Source organism: Homo sapiens, chromosome 4 (genome assembly GCF_000001405.40).
Source record: "Homo sapiens chromosome 4, GRCh38.p14 Primary Assembly".
Taxonomy (NCBI): Eukaryota; Metazoa; Chordata; class Mammalia; order Primates; family Hominidae; genus Homo; species Homo sapiens.
Window position 1 is genome coordinate 142,125,304 of NC_000004.12, and position 20,313 is coordinate 142,145,616.

General features: G+C 36.9%; 1 protein-coding gene across 63 annotated transcripts in view; it reads right to left on the reverse strand.

The window, feature by feature from the left end:
- INPP4B (inositol polyphosphate-4-phosphatase type II B) overlaps positions 1-20,313 on the reverse strand; it is an 823,376-nt gene that overhangs the window by 102,144 nt on the left and 700,919 nt on the right. For 3 of the 63 annotated variants that reach the window (XM_047416368.1, XM_047416367.1, XM_047416366.1), the window contains one exon: positions 1,328-3,720. The exons of the other annotated variants lie outside the window; for them this stretch is intronic. In XM_047416368.1, coding sequence (XP_047272324.1) covers positions 3,680-3,720 — 41 coding nt within the window. In that variant the 3' untranslated portion in view covers positions 1,328-3,679. Of the gene's footprint in view, positions 1-1,327; positions 3,721-20,313 lie in introns of those variants that run through there. 63 annotated transcript variants of the gene reach the window in all.

The following is a 20,313-nucleotide window of genomic DNA, read 5'->3' on the forward strand; positions in this document are numbered from 1 at the left end:
TTTATAATCAGTTTGTATCTGATTGTACCACTCACTCCTCACTTCTTAAAATATTTTGAAAAAAAAACACTAAAGCATTCATAAATAAATAAAGTTCAAACTCATGAAAGATTCTCCATTATCTAAACTTTGCCTATTTGTCTAATCTCATCTTTCAGAAGTTTATTTGCTGTCTTGAGTCTCAGGTGAATTGAACCTCATGTATTTCCTTAAACTTATCTTGTTCTCTCATCTCAATGTCTTTGAAAATCCTATCTCCTCTCCTGGAACACTCTTTTTCTACTTATCTTCCTGACAAATGCTTTATCTCTTCTGCAAACTCAATTCAGGATTTCTCTTCTCCAGGAAGTCTTCCTTCATTTCCCCCTTACTACACTTCCCTATTCCATGAAGATTGGGTTGAGCTGACTTCCTTTTGTGCCTGTATCTTCCTGTCCCAGTACTACTCACACACTACTCACCATTTTCCTCTGCAAGAAAGATAACTCACTGAGGGCAAGGAATTCATTTTTTAATCACCGAATCACTAGAACCTAGCATAGTGCCTAGCATATAGTAAATATTCAATAAGTTTTAATTGAATGAGAAAAGTTACAATAAATATAAAAAGTTTTAAAGATATAGACAAGTTTAAGTAAGTCAAGTTTTGGGTAGTATTTGGGATTCAAATAGCTGTTCTTCAAATGAGGATGCAAAATTGAGACCATTTGTGCTATTTGTATGTCTAGATTTCTAACAGGCATCAATTATATAATTATGACTTTGGTATGATATAGAAACAATTTATGTTCTGTTTCAGTTAATTTGGAGATCAAAGCCCTGGCAAATGTTAACTATCATAAATTCTTGACCGTGTGACATTCCATTAATATATAAATAAATTAATGGGTGACAAATACGATTTGATATGAATGAGTGCATGCTGCGAAATTAATTATAAAGCAGGAACTGAAATGATATGATCTCCTCATCATAAAAGTGCAAGCATCATTGTGAGTAATGTGAGTGGTAAATAATCAGTTAAGACCTTGAAAGAGTGACAGAGAATAATAAAAAGAATCACAATCACTATCGTACCATGTCTACTGTCACTTATTTATTTTATGTTGTGGTATAATAGACTAGATGAAATAAACCCAAAGGGTTGAAAGGATAATTAATGGCCCCAACATAATAAAAAGATACATTCTTAGTAATACTCTATGAAATGCCTATGTGATGTCATAATGTAAAATACATTAGAATGTTAGAAATTATTTTAAAAATATTGTAGATGTACATGCTATTATGAGGATAAAAAGCATAAAGAAAGAGGAATGCAACAGAGCCCTATTAATGCATGATCATTTAATATTGGACAAACTTATAGGCAGCCTAGAATAAAATGTGAACAATGGTTCAATTTAAACAAGCATTGGTTAACTGTTGATTCTTATGTCATTGTCATGTGTAAAAGGGAAAATAGAGGTACACTGAACTTTTTTTTCATAATAAGAGATACATCAATAGATACCAAGAATGAATATCCTATATTCCTATTTTTTCATATTTGCATTTTTATCTCCTGTTCTCTCCCTTTATTTAATTGTTGTTCTCAATATGAATGGGTAGACTAATAGACACAGGGAAACACTAGAAAAAACTTCAATAAATTAACCCAGATGTAAATTTTAAACGATAACAGACTGAAAACTGCTTTTGTTCTGTGCTTAGCTCTGTAGAGATTTGTTTCTACTAGAGAATTCCCAAACATAAAATACATCTTCTGTGCAGTAGGTGGCGCTGCTTAATCAGGCTGAAGCAGAACTACTTTGCACTTACTGCATTCAAGTAACTGATTTTTACTTTGTACGCAGTTGTATAGTTCCCAAACAGCATGTACTTATTGTTTAAGCATCTTGCATGGTACTATACTGAATCAACTGGTCAATACTTTATATGATTTTTCTAGTTAGAAAATTTAAAAAATAACTTAAGTGACCACATTTGTTTTCTTGCAAGACATTAAGTGACAATTCTAATTAAATATTTGTTTCTCTAAAAAGTATTTAAAGGAGAAAACTTTGCAGATTGTCTCATTAGCATAAGGATAGTTGCTTTATTCACTTCCATCTTCACTTATTTAACCAGTTGATTCTTAATTATAAATTACAATCAGATGACAAAAAAAACAACACCAAAACAAGTCTGGTTTCCAGTTTCACTAGATTGGAAGTGGAAACCCAGGATAAAAGGAACACACAACATTCTAAACCTAGGAACAGTGTTACATACTTCTGATACTAACAATATTCCAGTGTCTCTATTTTGCATAATTATATATACTTTTTATGGCTAAAATATCAGGACAATGACAATATCGGAAAGCATTAATTATGAATGAGAAAATTACAAGTTTGTGAGCAAGGTAATATGTCTTTAAAATAGTAGTAAGCCTTCTATGGAGGAACATAAGTGAAAAAGCTAAAAATACATTTTTTTTCTAGAAAAGAAACAATTTAAGTTGAGCAGATAATGGAAAATTGTACTGGAAAATTCCAATGCCAATGACTCCAGGTTTTCTTCTCTGTTAATATGCAGTCAGTGTAAATCTCAGGTTCTGAAATAAACACAGTGGCTACGACAGGCCAAAGCAAAGCCAAAGTCAGTTCATAAATGGCCTTTTTGCTCCAATGAACATCCCAAATCATTCTCACAAAGGAAAAATAAATGCTTTAGTCTTTTGCTTTAAAATATGTTTTGGGGAAAATTAAAAAAAACCCAAGCTTCAGCTCTTGACAGTTTTCAGACTTGTCACTTGCCCCTCACCTTTATGTCTCTCTATACCTTACAGTTTACATGGTGTTTATTTGGTCCTCCTGATAAAGATGAAGGTAGTATTCATTCATATATAAATATATATATGTGTGTGTGTGTGTGTATGTATATACACATATATATACGTGTGTGCACACACACATACACACAATCTTAGTTGAAACTTGAAAAAACTAAACTCAGAAGAGTGGATGTGTGTATTTCAGGATTTCGTACTTTTATACACACACACACACACACACACACACACACACACACATACACACACATACCTTTTTTATAAACCTAGTGAAGCTGGGGAGCTAAGGGTGCCCCACAATATAGTCACTGCCCCACTATCTCTGCCCTGAGCCAACTAGCCTCGCAGGCACTAAGTGTGATTTTATTCCCTGGGCTCCTTTCCATGACAGAGGGAAACACTAAGTGAATGTTTTAGTGTGTCTATAAGAACTTGCTGAGACTCCTTAACCCTGAGACCAACAAGAATCTTTCCTCGGGAAAACATAAAATGCATGTGGCTTAGCTGAGCTTTTCCTGAGCTTTGTGAAGTGTGTTGGGAGCCATCCAAGCACAGCCTCTGTTTTCCAGCCCTCTACTTGCTTCTCCGGCATATTCAAGGGAAGCTCACTGAAGGATTCAGAGAACGGCTGCTGGGTGCCCCCCTCACCTCCTCCACACATCATCTATTTCCTGTGCAGGATGTTCATGTCCTCTGAGCTCAATCACTCTTATGTTACTCAGGAGAAAAATAAAAGAGCCAAATATCAACCAACTGTAGCAGAGCATCATGCTTTCTTCACAATTTCTGAGCCATTCTCTTCTCAGGTGCTTGGTCTTCTTTGCTCATTTAAAATAATTAACTTCACAAAAGCTTGTAGCTATTGTTATTTCCGTTATCGCAACCTTTCAGACACAGAAAAAAGGAAAAGTAAAAAGATTGCACATGCATTAAACTTTATGCAAAGAGATAACAGAAGAAATGAGCCAGCTCTTAGGATTCTCTTAAGGTAACAAGATGATGAACTGTGAAGCCAAGCAATTAGAATGGCCATTAAGGGGGGCAATAAAATTCCCAAGGTCATGAAGTGAACACAGACCAAACTTACAGCCAGTAGGGGTTTTCATCTATGCCTGAACCCCAGGTAGTACAGAAATGGTGACCGGTTCATGGTTGGGGGCTTGTTATTTCCTGCTTATAAAATTTTTGTTGATTTTGAAGGGCCTATGCCTTACATCAACCCAAATAAGGGTACCTATGTGCCTCTGTGAGTGAAGTTCTTGTCTTTCAGGCACAATTTTGCAGTGTGAACATTAATAATGTGAAGGGATCAACTAATAATAAGGTTTCTTCTGCAGACACTTTATAGGTAAATTCCTTTGTATGGGCATAATACACGTCGCCAACTTTGGTCATAGACCCTAGACATCTGCCCATAGGAGGCCTCTAAATACCTGGACATATCCTAGGGGCACAGGGCCTAGAAACTAGGCTAATTCCAGACAATAGAAGAGTAATCAGGAAAAGAAAAGCACCTGTGGAAACTTGGCTGCTTCGAATGTTTTCCAGGCCACTCAGAATGTCCTTCTCCAACCAAGCCTTCCTGACCCTCTTCCTGTCTTTATAATCTACTGCCTGTCTCTGATACAGGAATTGAGAAATCTATTTTTATTTTTCTTCTTTTAATAAATGCTAATGTGTCTTTCTTATATCATTGCTCCCCCCCTCCTTTTTCATGACATCATGAGAAATGGACTCATTCATTGGACAAAGATAGTGTCTTCTATGTGAGGTGCTGTGGGTGATACTAATATTTTTAACTCATGCCCCCTCCTTCAAGGAGCTAAAATTGAGAAGGAAAGGTAAGAAGTACAAAGGAATACCTACAGTATAAGGTGGTATGATAACAGCTACAAAAGTTGGGACAGTGACCAAACGAGTTTTAGAAGAGAGAGAGTTTAGAGGCAAGAGAGTTCATCTCTGGTGAGAAGACTGTGTTCACTCATGGCTGTGGCATTTACTGCAAACTTAAAGGAAGTCACATGTGGAAAGTGCCCAGGGAAGTCTGCCTGGACTGCAGGTAGTAGACACCCACAGTGAGGCTTTGTAGGAATAGAGACTGAGAGGAGTGTTTGGTTTTGTAATGACAAATCTAATAAATAGATGCATAAACTGACCAAAGGGAGAAACAGGGGGTACTGGAAGAGAGGAAATAAATGACTGAGATCACTCAGTGATTTGGAGAAGGCAGGAATAAAACAGAAGTAAATGTTAAGCTGAAGCCATGGAATAAAACCAATGGGAGTCTAGGTATAGGCAGTCACCATGGTAGGGATAGGGAATGGAGGTCGATAGGGGTGGGGATAAAGGACGGCGCAGAGGATATGTGAACAGGGCAAGAGCTAAGAAGCAAGGCCACATCAGAAACAATGTGTATCAGACAGGGTGAATGAAGAAACAAGGTTTATATTAACCCTGAGAGGAAGGTAGCATGTGAATGTACTTTCCCTTGCCTCTATCTCAGGGCAGCCTCAAAGGCCCTAAGGACATTCACATAAAGAACAAACATGTATCTTAAAATGTAATCAGTGTAATGTCCACTGAACTATGATCCAAGGTAAATGACTGATCTTAGCACCTTCCACATGTATGAGAAATAACTGTACTGCTCAACCCAAGACAAATGGCTATGACAAGAACAAAGGCAACCTTCCCTCATGTCCAGGGAACCTTGTTTGTTTAAACCCTGCCAGCCTGAGAACACAGTGTCATAAAACTTTCCAGTCTTGCTCTTAGGAAAATAGCAAAGGAAATGCAACAACTGATATCCTGGTTAAACTTCTTATTTCGTAGCACAAAATTGAAAGCCTAAAGTAAATTCTGCTAAGACAGTTTCCAGGAACCAAATCCATTAATCAAACAAGCCTTGTATTTGTTGTAGCACAAAAGTTTTAAATTCAGGTTATGTGTTGACTGGAGGAGTCACACACCCACATTCACTGGGCTTATTTTGTTGCCTTTTGGCCTTAAATAAACTGTAATCTCAGGATTCTGGCCCTCAAACAGGCTGGGTATTTAAGAATAAGCTGCATAGGTCATAGGTCTTTGAGCAACCTGAAATTATCAATATGTCTACATCAGTGAGCTCCTGTCATTTAAATATTGGCCAGCATCTAAGGTTGAGAAGACAGGTAGTGGATACTGAGTTGACTGAATCCTTATCAGAGTACAGGCAATCAGAGAAGTGAAGAGGTGCAACATTTTTACTAGGTGAATGTAGGTGAAGTAAACTAGGTGAATATAGAAGTTTCCCAGTAATGTTCAAGACCATGGAATATAGTACATCAATTTTTTGGAGCATAAGTTTATACAAGTGCAATTTTGCTATATGCATGAAATGTGTAGTTGCACCAGTTTAAAAACAAAATTCTGCAAACACAATAGGGCCTCACGTCCATAGATTTAACTTATAAATGCTGAGTAAGCAGTCAAGTAACCAAACAATGTAAACAGTACATTTCTTAGGCCATTTCATTCAATAATCACATGCCCTACAGCCGAGCGTGGTGGCTCATGCCTGTAATCCCAGCACTTTGGGAGGCCAAGGCAGGCGGATCACCTGAGGGTGGGAGTTCGAGACCAGCCTGACCAATGTGGAGAAACCCCGTCTCTACTGAAAATACAAAATTAGATGGGCATGGTGGCGCATGCCTATAATCCCAGCTACTCAGGAGGCTGAGGCAGGAGAATTGCTTGAACCCGGGAGGTGGAGGTTGCAGTGAGCCAAGATTGCACCATTGCACTCCAGCCTGGGCAACAAGAGTGAAACTTTGTTTCCAAAAAAAAAAAAACAAAAATATTACATGCCCTAAAGTTCCTGGATGAGAGCTATCATCTCCCTTTTCCTCTATCTCGGTTTCTCTGTGGGTGTGAACATCACCATATTTATGAGAAAGTTAAGTAATTTTTCGATGTAATTATGAATTCTTAATTTCTGCATATGATTCCACAGTGAGCCTTTAAGATATACCTAAGGGACTGATTTTCATGAAGTTATCATATAGCATCACAAGTTTGTGCCTGAAACAACTCAACATTTTGTTAAAAGGGTGCTAGTGAATATGTTTGTAGAGAATAAGATTGGAGAAGGTTTTTTTTTTTCTTGGAGAGAGCAGAGGCAATGCATCATAGACTCTAAGAGGGCAGGCTCTGGAGCCAGACCACCAGGGTTAGAACCCAGGCTGTGCACAGGTCACTACAACTCTCTACTTCTTCATCCTTTAATTTTGTAGAATTAATTCTACAGTGTTGTAAGAATTAAATGAGTTAACGCAGTCAATATTTTTTTTTACCACATATCAAGTAATCCATAAATATGAGCTTCTATGTTAAAACAATTCAAATAAACAAAGTAATTTCTACATGATACTTTGCACTCGCCCTCCTACCAGCATTGATTCTTTATGCTCTTCCTTCTGTCCTATTTCTGAGGATGAACTGTTGTCTAGCTCAGACCATCTCCTCTGTTGGTACACCAGATCTCATCCTCTCTCACCTACTTAAGAGTGTCACTCTAGCAATTCTCTCCCTTCCTCCCACATTATCAATATTTCCTTTTTAACTGGATCATTCTTGTCAGAAAACAAACATGCTATTATCTCCTCATCTTGAAACAAATATCACTGTTTTGACCCTAATTCCCTTTACAGCTCCTATACTTTATTTCTCCATTTCCTTTCACAATGAAAGTTCTCAAAAGAGTTGTCTATACAGGTTGTCTCTACTTCCTTTACTTCCTCTTTCTTTTAACCCACTCTACTTAATTCCTACCCACTCTAGTAAGGCTACTCTCGTCATCAAAGACATCCGTACTGCTAAATCCAAAGCCATCTCTTAGTCCTCATTTTATTTGACCTATTTTCTAACCCCGGCTTTCAGGATAGCATATTCTCTTTGTATTCCTCCTACCTCACTGGCCGTCTCTTGCCCAACTTTGTTGCTGGTTCCTTCACTTATTTCTGACATATCAACACTGAAATGTCCTCAAGTATATATAATCTATAGGTTATTTCCCCTTTCTCTGTACACTCAATCCCTGCTGTTATTATTCAGTCTCGTGTCTTTAAGTACCATCTACATAATAACAATTTCCAAATTAATGTCTTTAGCCTGAATATGTCTCCTGAACTCTATTCTTATATGTAACTGCAAACTTGATATCTCCATGTCGAATTTAACATTTCAAATGTCTTACCCTAAAAATAGGTACAGAATCTCACTACTTTTCATCACCTCCACTTGTCTTCTTCTTCGTCCAAGCTCATCATGCCTCACCTTGACAACTGTATTCATGTTCTAACTGCCTATATCTGGTTTTACCCTCTTCATGTATAGTCTAATCTCAACACAACAGCCTAGGTGTTAATATCTAAGTCAAATCAGGTTAATCCTCTTGTTCAAAACTCTCTAATTGCTCCCCATTTTTCTCAGAGTAAAAACAACATTTACACAAAGCCTCTACATGATCCTTCCCCTAAGTTACCTGTTTAATGTCACCTTCTACTCTCCTACCATCATTATCCTTATTTGATCCAAACTGGCTTCCTTGTTGTTTCCTGAATATGGTAGGGACATTTATGCTTCAAGGCTGCTGTAATAGCTATTTTCTATGACCAATATATCCTTTCCCTAGATAGTCACATGGCTCACTGTCTCACCTCCTGTGTCTTTTGAGACAAGTTCAAGCATCAGCTTTTAAATGAGACCTACATCGCCTACTCCACTAAACTGCAATCTCTACCCTACAACATTACATCAAAACCCTTTTACGTTGCTCTATATTTTTTTCTACAGCCTCTGTCACCATTACTATACCATGCAATGGCCCTATTTCTTGTGTTACTTTTTATTGTCTCTTTGCTACTAGAGCATAAACTTCAGGAGAGCCAGTGTTTTATCTTTTCTGTTTATTTTTGTAGTCCTCAGGGTCTAAAACAGTGCCTAGCACATAGTAGATAATTAAAATATGTTGAATGACTGAAAAAAATTAATATCACCTTTAAAAACGTGGCATCCTTTTTATTACCATAAAACTTTGGAACTGGAAGAGACCTTAAAACTTTGTACATTATTTTACCAAAACAGGATGTGAGACGCAGAGAATGTAAATGGCTTGACAAAGGCCATGAAGCCAAATAAGTACCAAACTGTGGACTTGCCAAGATCCTGGCTCTGAGTCCCATGTTACTCTGTTACTTCATAATTCATTGTACAATTTTTAAGGAAAACAGCATTAGTTTTCTGGTAAGAACAGATATTTTAAAATGTCATAATTCAAAAATGTTATTGAAATTCTAGGCTTACAATAAAAATGTACTTTACATGGCATATTTTGATTATTTAAGTTTTAAAAAAATTTGTAAGTATACTCTAGTTGGGAGGCCAAGGCGGGCAGATCACCTGAGGTCGGGAGTTCGAGATCAGCCTGAACAACATGGAGAAACCCCATCTCTACTAAAAATGCAAAAAATTAGTTGGGCATAGTGGCGCATGCCTGTAATCCCAGCTGGTTGGGAGGCTGAGGTGGGAGAATCACTTGAACCTGGGGGACGGAGGTTGTGGTGAGCTGAGATCACACCATTGCATTCCAGCCTGGGCAACAAGAGCGAAACTCTGTCTCAAAAAAAAAAAAAAAAAAAAAAAAAAGTTGTTTTAGCTGGAGAACTATTAACTTTTTAAAGCTTCATTCATTGATCTTTTTCCAATGAAATTCTCAATATTCATATGTAGGAATTTATGAATTTCAAAATATTAATATTTAAGCCCTCTAGTGAAAAAGATTCTTTGGTACTTGTATGTTGTATGTTTGTATTTTATAAAATAAAAGACTTGTTATAACTATTAAAACCACTGAAATAATTGTCTAATGTTGAATATAAATTCTGAGAATATTAGTATTTTTGCATAAATGTTGAACAATATTCACTTATTAATATCAAGAAAACCTCAAAAGTGTCAACAGCAATGGTAGATCCATATGACTAGGCCTTCATTCCACAATATTGGGCCTCTATTATTTGCTACGAATTATGTTAGGTTCTGGAGATTCAAGAACAAATCACAAACACTTGGCATATTTTCTTACAGAGCCAAGTCTAACAGGGGAAATGACATTTAAGATGGCATGTGCAATAAATCAGAGATTCAAAGGTTTCAAAATAGTGGCCTATAGACCAGTCTTATATGGCCTACAAATTTTATGTGGAATTTATCACATTTTAGCAATTTTTAACCTTAAAAAAAAGTGAGATATTTTATATAAACATTCAGATTTATTTGAAAAATCAGAAGGGATGACAACTTTAGGTCCATGTTCTCCATGGAAATGACTGGCTGGGGCTGGAGCAGTGACCCCCTTTTGGAGGAACATATACTCTCTACTTTGCTCTGGCTTCTGTCCACTTCGCTTGATTCATTCATATTACTTCATATGATGCCTATGGGCCCTTGTCATTGCAAGCCTTGCAGAAAGTGTGACAACGTAAATGACAGAATCCAGTAAAAAATAAAAACAGGAGGACCTATTCAAAAAGCAGTAAATGAGATTTTTTCCTTTTTCCTTCAGTGGTGTTGCTCCAGACCTGTCAGGGTGTTTTTTGTTTGTTTGTTTGTTTATTTTTTTAATGTTTGTTTGTTTGAGACAGAGTCTTGCTCTGTCGCCCAGGCTGGAGTGCAGTGGTGCGATCTCCGCTCACTGCTAGCTCCCCCGCCCAGGTTCACGCCATTCTCCTGCCTCAGCCTCCTGAGTATCTGGGACTACAGGTGCCTGCCACCATGCCTGGCTAATTTTTAGTATTTTTTAGTAGAGACGGGGTTTCACCGTGTTAGCCAGGATGGTCTCGATCTCCTGACCTTGTGATCCACCTACCTTGGCCTCCCAAAGTGCTGGGATTACAGGTGTGAGCCACCGTGCCCGGAGGGTGCTTTTTATTTACTCTTTTTTGCCATACTCCCTTGGATGTGGGGCTACGTGAGTACAGAGCCTCAAAGGCAGTCAGCCTCACCCTGGCTCTTCGGCACTGGCACCCAGGCATGTTGGTAGGTGGGGGTGGGAAGTGATCATTGGGCTGGCGTGAAGATGGAAGGTCGGGCAGGCACTGGAGAACCCTGCAGAACTGCAAGTGAGGCAAGCCTCCAAGGCCCGGGTACAGGCTTCATCACCCTATTGGACTTCACTGACAAAACACAAATGCAAAGATAAAGTTATTTGGAATTTCAGGATGGCAACTCAGAGCATTAATCTCAGAGCACAGGGCTCTGCTGAGTGAGAGGCCGTGTGTGACCACATTGGTCTCACACTCACAGCCTTAGCCTGGATGACCAGGGAAGGCACCCCAGATGATGTGAAGTTTGGGCATGGGGAAAGCTTTGAAAGCTCAGGAATGAAAAGCACCAGGTGAGTTCTCAGAAGAGTTTAATATGACTGGATCATGGAGGATGAGGCAGGGTGAGGTGGAAGGAGATGTCAAAGTGCCTTGAAGTGGCAGGTAGGGGTAAAGAAATGTAGGGCCTGTAAAAAAGGGAGAAAGTGTCTTGAAGAGGCAGGTGGTGGTAAGGGAATTTAGGACCTTGTAAAAGAGGGAGAAAGCTTGGCAAACAAGTGAAGTATAAGTTATGACTATCTGAGAAACAGTTCATTAAGATATCAAGGACAAACCTAAAGGCAGGTAAATCTATATACAAAACCGCTGTTAAAATTTAATCATCCCTTACAAAGAAATGGAAGAACATTCCATACTCATGGGCAGGAAGAATCAATATCGTGAAAATGGCCATACTGCCCAAGGTAATTTACAGATTCAATGCCATCCCCATCAAGATACCAATGAGTTTCTTCATAGAATTGGAAAAAACTACTTTAAAGTTCATATGGAACCAAAAAAGAGCTCGCATCGTCAAGTCAATCCTAAGCCAAAAGAACAAAGCTGGAGGCATCATGCTACCTGACTTCAAACTATACTACAAGGCTACAGTGACCAAAACAGCATGATACTGGTACCAAAACATAGATATAGATCAATGGAACAGAACAGAGCCCTCAGAAATAACACCGCATATCTACAACTATCTGATCTTTGACAAACCTGAGAAAAACAAGCAATGGGGAAAGGATTCCCTATTTAATAAATGGTGCTGGGAAAACTGGCTAGCCATATGTAGAAAGCTGAAACTGGATCCCTTCCTTACACCTTATACAAAAATCAATTCAAGATGGATTAAAGACTTAAACGTTAGACCTAAAACCATAAAAACCCTAGAAGAAAACCTAGGCATTACCATTCAGGACATAGGCATGGGCAAGGACTTCATGTCTAAAACACCAAAAGCAATGGCAACAAAAGCTAAAATTGACAAATGGGATCTAATTAAACTAAAGAGCTTCTGCACAGCAAAAGAAACTACCATCAGAGTGAACAGGCAACCTACAAAATGGGAGAAAATTTTCGCAACCTACTCATCTGACAAAGGGCTAATATCCAGAATCTACAATGAACTCAAACAAATTTACAAGAAAAAAACAAACAACCCCATCAAAAAGTGGGCAAAGGATATGAACAGACACTTCTCAAAAGAAGACATTTATGCAGCCAAAAAACACATGAAAAAATGCTCACCATCACTGGCCATTAGAGAAATGCAAATCAAAACCACAATGAGATATCATCTCACACCAGTTAGAATGGCAATCATTAAAAAGTCAGGAAACAACAGGTGCTGGAGAGGATGTGGAGAAATAGGAACACTTATACACTGTTGGTGGGACTGTAAACTAGTTCAACCATTGTGGAAGTCAGAGTGGCGATTCCTCAGGGATCTAGAACTGGAAATACCATTTGACCCAGCCATCCCATTACTGGGTATATACTCAAAGGACTATAAATCATGCTGCTATAAAGACACATGCACACGTATGTTTATTGCGGCACTATTCACAATAGCAAAGACTTGGAACCAACCCAAATGTCCAACAATGATAGACTGGATTAAGAAAATGTGGCACATATACACCATGGGATACTATGCAGCCATAAAAAATGATGAGTTCATGTCCTTTGTAGGGACATGGATGAAACTGGAAATCATCATTCTCAGTAAACTATCACAAGGACAAAAAACCAAACACCGCATGTTCTCACTCATAGGTGGGAATTGAACAATGAGAACACATGGACACAGGAAGGGGAACATCACACTCTGGGGACTGTTGTGGGGTGGGGGGAGGGGGGAGGGATAGCATTAGGAGATATACCTAATGCTAAATGATGAGTTAATGGGTGCAGCACACCAGCATGGCACATGTATACATATGTAACTAACCTCCACGTTGTGCACATGTACCCTAAAACTTAGAGTATAATAATAATAAAATTAAAAAAAATTAATCATTCCTTTTTCCAACAGATATTCTGAGGATCTCAGATAGAGATCACTGTGCTTGAATTTGAATCCTTGCTTGGATGCCCACTAGCTCTGTGATCTTAGGCAAATTACTTAACCCCTTCATCTATGAAATGGGGACAGAACCAGAAACTCCCCTACAGGCTTGTTGTGAAAAGGAAGAGAGGAAAGAATGTAAAAGTTCATCAAAGTACTTGTCACATAAATGTGAGTGTACTAAGTGTCAGCTATTAATGTGATTATTACCCCTCCTTTGATACCTCGTTTGGTCTCCAAACTGCATTTGATTTTCATTCCTTGATACTTCTGACACCTCATCTGAGAGTAATCCTCATGCCTCAAGGCCAATAAAGATTTTGCTCATCTTTTCTTCTTCTTTCTCTTTACATTTTATCCAGTTTAATCTATCTGCTAATGCCTCCCAAATGTTTACTTCCTTTCCTAAGTCTTTTATCTTGTAAGTGATGCCTTTGGAAGATCTCTCACTAGGTATATCCCTTCAAATAGAACTTACTCATGTACTAGACTGTAAGGACAGGGCCATGACTGAACGTGTTCCTGGATACAGTGACTGGAACAGGGTAAGTACTCAACAAATATGGAATGAATGAAAGAATTTTCTTCTTTCTTTTCCAACCAATACAAATTTAGTGTCTTTCCATGAGGCTTAATGCCTGAACTATTTTATATATAATTGCATTAATTTGTGAGTTGTTCTAGTCTTTAATTATTATTATTATTATTATTTTAGAGATAGAGTCTCACTGTCACCCAGCCTGGAGTGCAATGGCACAATCTCAGCTCACTGCAACCTCCACCTCCCAGGTTCAAGTGATTCTCTAGCCTCAGCCTCCCGAGTAGCTGGGACTACAGGCGCGTGCTACCATGTTCAGTTAATTTTTGTATTTTTAATAGAGATGGGGTTTCCCCATGTTGGCCAGGCTGGTCTTGAACTCCTGATCTCAAGTGATCCACCTGCCTCAGCCTCCCAAAGTGCTGGGATTACAGTCGTGAGCCACCCTGCCCGGCCCAGTCTTTAATTATTTTAAGTGTATTAGATAGATAGCTAATCTAGGGAACCAAAGACAAAAGATGGGAAAGAGGAGCAATTCACTACAGCCTTATATGTGTTCCTATTTGAAGGTTGGGGTGCACTTTTAGGATGAAAAATCTTTGGCACCAGCAAGACATTGATAACTGGTGACAAATCACTGGCAAACCTCTAGTAGTTACCAGCAGACAGCTGTGCGTTTGTCGGTTTGTTTGCTTGTTTACTTTTTGTATACAGATGGGCTCTCACCATGCTGCCCAGGTTGGTCTCAAACTCTTGGCTTCCAGTGATCCACCCACCTGGGCTTCCAAAGTGCTTGGATTACAAGTGTGAGCCACAGCAACTGGCCCAGATGATTGTGTTAACTGAAGGCAGACAGAGATAAAGTAAAATATAAGGTAAATATAGTGAATTATCAGATCCCAGGAGGAAATGTGGAATGTGCCTTACAAGTTAAAAGGAAACTTTCAAGCAAAAAAGGACATGAGTACCAAGAAACTAGAAACAAATTCTAAGCAATGATATGTGGACTAATTCGATGATCTACATGGAGGTTTACTGCCTTTGAAAGAAGCAGTGATGACTCGAAGCCTATGTGGCCTCATTAGTGAAAATAATTTCAGAGGAACTTTATCTTTGACAGGATTTACAGCTGGATAGATTAGGAAAAATAATTCAATGGCATAGGATATTTGGCCTTTTACAGGGCATTTCATGACATACTTGTGAAAGATGGAGAAATATAGGCCATGCAATGATATGAATGGGTGAACATAGAGCTGGTTGAACACACATCCCCAAAGGGTAGTGATTAACCAGCGTATTTGAATGCATACTGTTCCTTTTAGTGATGTGCCTTAAGAATCTCTATGTAGCTCTGTTTTCTAATCATTTTTATCTGTTACTTCTAGGAATGGACAGAAAATGCATATAAAATGTGAATAAAATCATCCTGAGTAGGTCAGTAGATATGAAGGATGAAAGAAACAGGTATTTATTAGAGTGTACTCAAAGGCATTTTATACTAGTCAGTCATGGGTTTAGACATCCATCTCTTCAGTAAAATTGGGATAGATTGTTTTAATCTTCTCATGCCCCCAATATTTCATAATGTCTAGTATATAGTGGTGCTTAAATGTTACTTGAATCTTTAGAAGCCTGAAGGATAGGTCAAATTTAGCAAGGTTTATGGATATCAGTAGAATTAGTTGTAAAATGTGAGTGTCAAAACAGTGAATGCCAGCTTAGATATCATTATATTAGAATAGTACCTAAAAGTAGGGAGGTGGTCCTCCTGGGTTACTCTGCAGCTATTAACTGTATTTGTATCGCTGCGCTTAATTCTGCAGACTGCTGAGACAAACTAGAAGATGTTCAGAGAAATGCAAACTCTTGGATATGCTTGAAGCTATTCCTTTGAAAAATGATTGAAAAGGTGACAATTCAAAAGGGACATGAGGGTTGCTTTCAGATACACCTTAGGCTTAATGTAAAGAAAGAAAAGTAAATTTGTTTTTTATTGCAAAGGATTATATCTGGACCAGTGGGTACAATGAAAGAAAACATATTAGGATCAAGGTCTGGAGTATGTTGCTCTAGAAGATAAAAAGAGTTTTCTATAACTGAAGATGTGCCTCATAGGCTAGTTGAAAACCGGCAGAGATATTGTAGATAAGCTTCTTAACATATTTTAGGAGGTTTAATTACATAATCTTTAAGATGACGTCAAAATCTAAGGTTCTAATATTCACTGATTTTATCTTTGAGTCAGCAGTTTATGAAACTGAAGGCATGTAGTGCTATACAGACAGCAGATGCTTAGAAAGGTATTTGAGTGTACTACAAATAAAAGGACAATCTTCATTCATTAGGAAACCACATAAATATATATAAACTGTAGAACTTTGGAATAGTTATTCTATTATTTCTCTTCAGAACAGCACAGAAAGTTTTATGTCTCTCAGCACTATCTGCATTTACCCTAAAAAGAAATTTATAAAGCAAGCCAAAGATATACTGTAAAACCTTGGTTCTCAAACAAACAGAAAACCTTCAAAACTACAGATTTAAAATATTACTAAAAGGAAAATTTGCAACTTGAAAAGAGAAATAGCTGTAGGTTAAAGAACAACATAAGAAAGTGGATAAAAGTAGCACAACCCAGATGACCATCTGTTTAGCCATGTTAAGTATACAGCAGCAAAACAAACACAAATTATAGCTACAATGTAAAAATAAAGGAGTGTGATGAAAAAGAAAAACTGTCATAGGATTGATTTACTCCAAATTTAGAAATGTATCCCAACATAAATCACAATAATCAAAACCCTATGAAATAAAACAAAATTCCAGAATTTGATTTAAAATAGATACAGAATCTAATAAACAAAAAACCAGAAGTAATACAACATGAAGAATAACATCACTAACAAATGATGCTGCAACAAATGCTTATCAGTATTTATCATATCATACATTGTAATAAATACTATATGTCTCAAATTGCTTGCCTAATCAATTCACTAATTAATTGTAAAAAAGAAAGGAGCAAAATGGCTTGGGCTGGGATAAATTTGGGACTATTGAAGAAATACATTTTATTATCAAAAATAATATTTTGGAATATAGTAACATGTTATACAATGTCAAACTTCACAGAAACAAGAAATTACAATATGATATTTTCACCCAAAGTGGCAGGAAATAAGTGAAAATATTTAAGGCTGAAAAGATTGTAATCAGAAGGTTGCTTTTAGATCCTGTTAGTTAGAGTGTCTTTTGTTATAGAGAACCATGAAAATGTTTCTATCCATCCAGATGTTGATTTCTAAATGCTGTTCTCCAATAAAATGAAACCAGGTTTCTTTAGAAATTGGCTGAACCTGGAGCTGGGGTAGGGAAAATATAAGATGAGCCTAGAGCTTCTTATGGTGCCAAAGAGGAAGTCAGTGAGTAAAACAAGTAAGAAAATGAGTAAGGGAAATAAGAAAGTAAGGGAGTAAACAACATATGGGAGGATGTCATCAGAAGGACACAGAAATCAATCTGAATAAGAGAGAACAACTTGAGTCCAAAATAAATAATATTAGTATTGGATTCTTAACCAAATAATAAAATAAGTATTCAAACAAGGAAGAAAAGATTTTGAATGTTGTCACCACAAGGAATGATAAACGTTTAAAGTGATGAATATGGTAATTACTCTGATGTTGTCATTATGTGAATAAAGCACCACATGGAGTTTTACCCCAAAATATGGCTCCCTGATATAATGAATATTTTGAATTACAGGCCCTTAGAGATCAACAGATGGTAGAACAGACTTTTCCCTATCCATATAAAGACAGGGCAGACCTATGAAGGAGAAGAGTTGTTTCTTCTCTGCCTCGGCCCCATGTCTCTCAATCTTCTACCTCTTCAAAAGCACAGGCTGAAGTTTCCTTAACTGCCTAAACTCCAGATCTTCAAAAACAAACAAGCAAAACACCAAAAAACAATTACCTGTGATCCACTCCTTGGTTTTTTACTAACTGAACCCATATCCCAGGAGGAAGACAAAAGTCGTCAACAAACCTGGACATATTTTTGTCACAAACCAACAGGCCCAACAGACAACTGTATGTTCTTCAAGCCCATTAAATTATCCTAAAAACTATTTACTATCTTCCTAAAATCATCCACACTACCTCTCCTCTCCCTTTCCCCTAAAATGTAGGGTATATAAGCATCTGTACTGAGATATTAGGTAATCACAGTGTGATTCTCCCTTTACACATGATAGCAATAAATTTATATTCCTTTTCTCTTATGAATCTGCCTTTTTATGAGTTAATTTTTCAATAACTTTTCAGAGGGCAAAAGGAGAAGCTTTCCGTTCACCCACACATACACATGCATTGAGACATCACGGTGAACCCCATAAAAATGTACAATTATTATGTGTCAAATATAATTAAAATTTAAGTTAAAAATAAAATAAGTATTCATGAGTCCACATTGATATAAAAAATGGATAAATAAATACATAGGAGAGAGGGGGCAACTCTTCCTTACAAAATAATTCCAGTTCTGACAATCTAACTTATGGGGAAATAAAATTTAGTTAAAGACTTACAGAATCAAAGATGCTTATATGTTAATTACAGCACTATGATAGTACTTAAAAATCTAAAATAATGGCTTCTATTTTGATGAATTCGTTTACAGTCATTATAATACGCGTTCTGGAGAATGGTTATGAGGAAATATTCAGACAAAAGTAACATATTTCACACATTTAAATAGTGACTTCTCTTAAAAAAATTCTAACACAAGAAAGAATTGGTGATGAGTGAAATAAACATAGATAATAAAATAAGAAAATAAATTAGAGGGCAATATGTTGTAGTTTGACTCTAACCATCCACAACATTGATCTAGCTGTGAATTCTACTTCTGCAGCAACTTCTACTTGGTTTTAGACTATATGTACACAATGTCTCATATTCAAATAAAAATGATTCATCTAATCTTACGGCTGATTTATCTGCCAAATATTTTACCTTTTAAAATGCATTTTGAATGCCCAGATGCAGTCTTCTGATGAAATACAAGATACACACACACACACACACACACACACACACACACACACACACACTGTATAATTTCAAATATTTTGGAATGTTATTGTCTTCAGTGAGAAGTTTTGGCAACATTAAACAAAAAATATAACAAAATCCAGTGTCCCTTATCTTATTTCTGCTAAAAAATAATATGCCTTGAAAAAATCTATCAATGGACATAGTCACTAAAATGAATTCTTCTTACCTCATTTTCTAGAGGACAGCAGTGTCTGGCCCATACTTGATAATCAATATTTGTTCAATTAAAGAAAATTGAAGTATGCTATTTCTTCATGACATAGCTATGACAAGCTTTCATTTTGATTCATGTAAAGTTATGAAGCTAGACAAGATTCATTAACTAATAAAAACTGGTATTGTTAAAAAAGAAAATCCCTACATACAGTTAGATCAAGTAAGTGTGAACATAAAGAACATTAGCATAAATGTTTTGCCTATATGAATGTATGACAGAGGAAGAGGGACCATCTACAACAAGAATACTTTAGAAAGCCATAGCTTACAAATATAATTTAGAAATGGTTCTACTGTTAATCAAGTGATGAAAGATTGATGTTTTATATAATTAAACTCCTGATAAAAATGTGAGTAATGAAAAATTAGGAAAACAAATTGAGGAAACATAAATCTAATTTTATAAATGTTTGTATTTTCTTATGACTCTTTTTTTTTAAAGTAAAAGAAAGAACAGATTTCAGCAGAAGAGAGTAGGGTAGTATTGCTTATTCTCTCCAAACACTTAAAGTACCCAGCAAAAAAGTCTGACTCAACCCTAACAGCAGTTCCTACTGCCGTAAAGAGATGTAGACATTTGCCTTGGTTTTTGTGTCAATATTAATCAAACATTAATCAAATCAACAAAAAGAAAATTTCAAAGCCATTTACAGGGACACATCTGTAGTTAAAATTTTGTTTGTATTTTCTAGCCAACCTTGTAATAAGGTATACATTTGAAAGTATCTGCCTTCCTATCTGCCTACCTACCCACCTATCTCTCCACAGAAAAACACATGCACTCACATGTATACACATGTGTGCATGGTTTCACAAAAATCTAGACTTGTCATATATTTTTTTAGAGCAATATGCTAACATATTCCTTATAATCAAATCTTCCCATATGTTTTGGAGATAATTTACACAAATATTTCTCAGAATAAAATGCAAAAATCATCCTATCTGATTACATTCTGTTAAGAAACCACTGTGAGATACTGTGTCCTTGATATGCCCCTATGTTTCTAAGAGTTAAGTGCAGATGCTTATTTATCTTTCTAATAAAATTTTGGAGGAATGTGTAAAGGTAGGTTAAACTATGTCAGAGCCTTAAAACACTGTTCTTTTTTCAAGGTTTTTATGTGGTA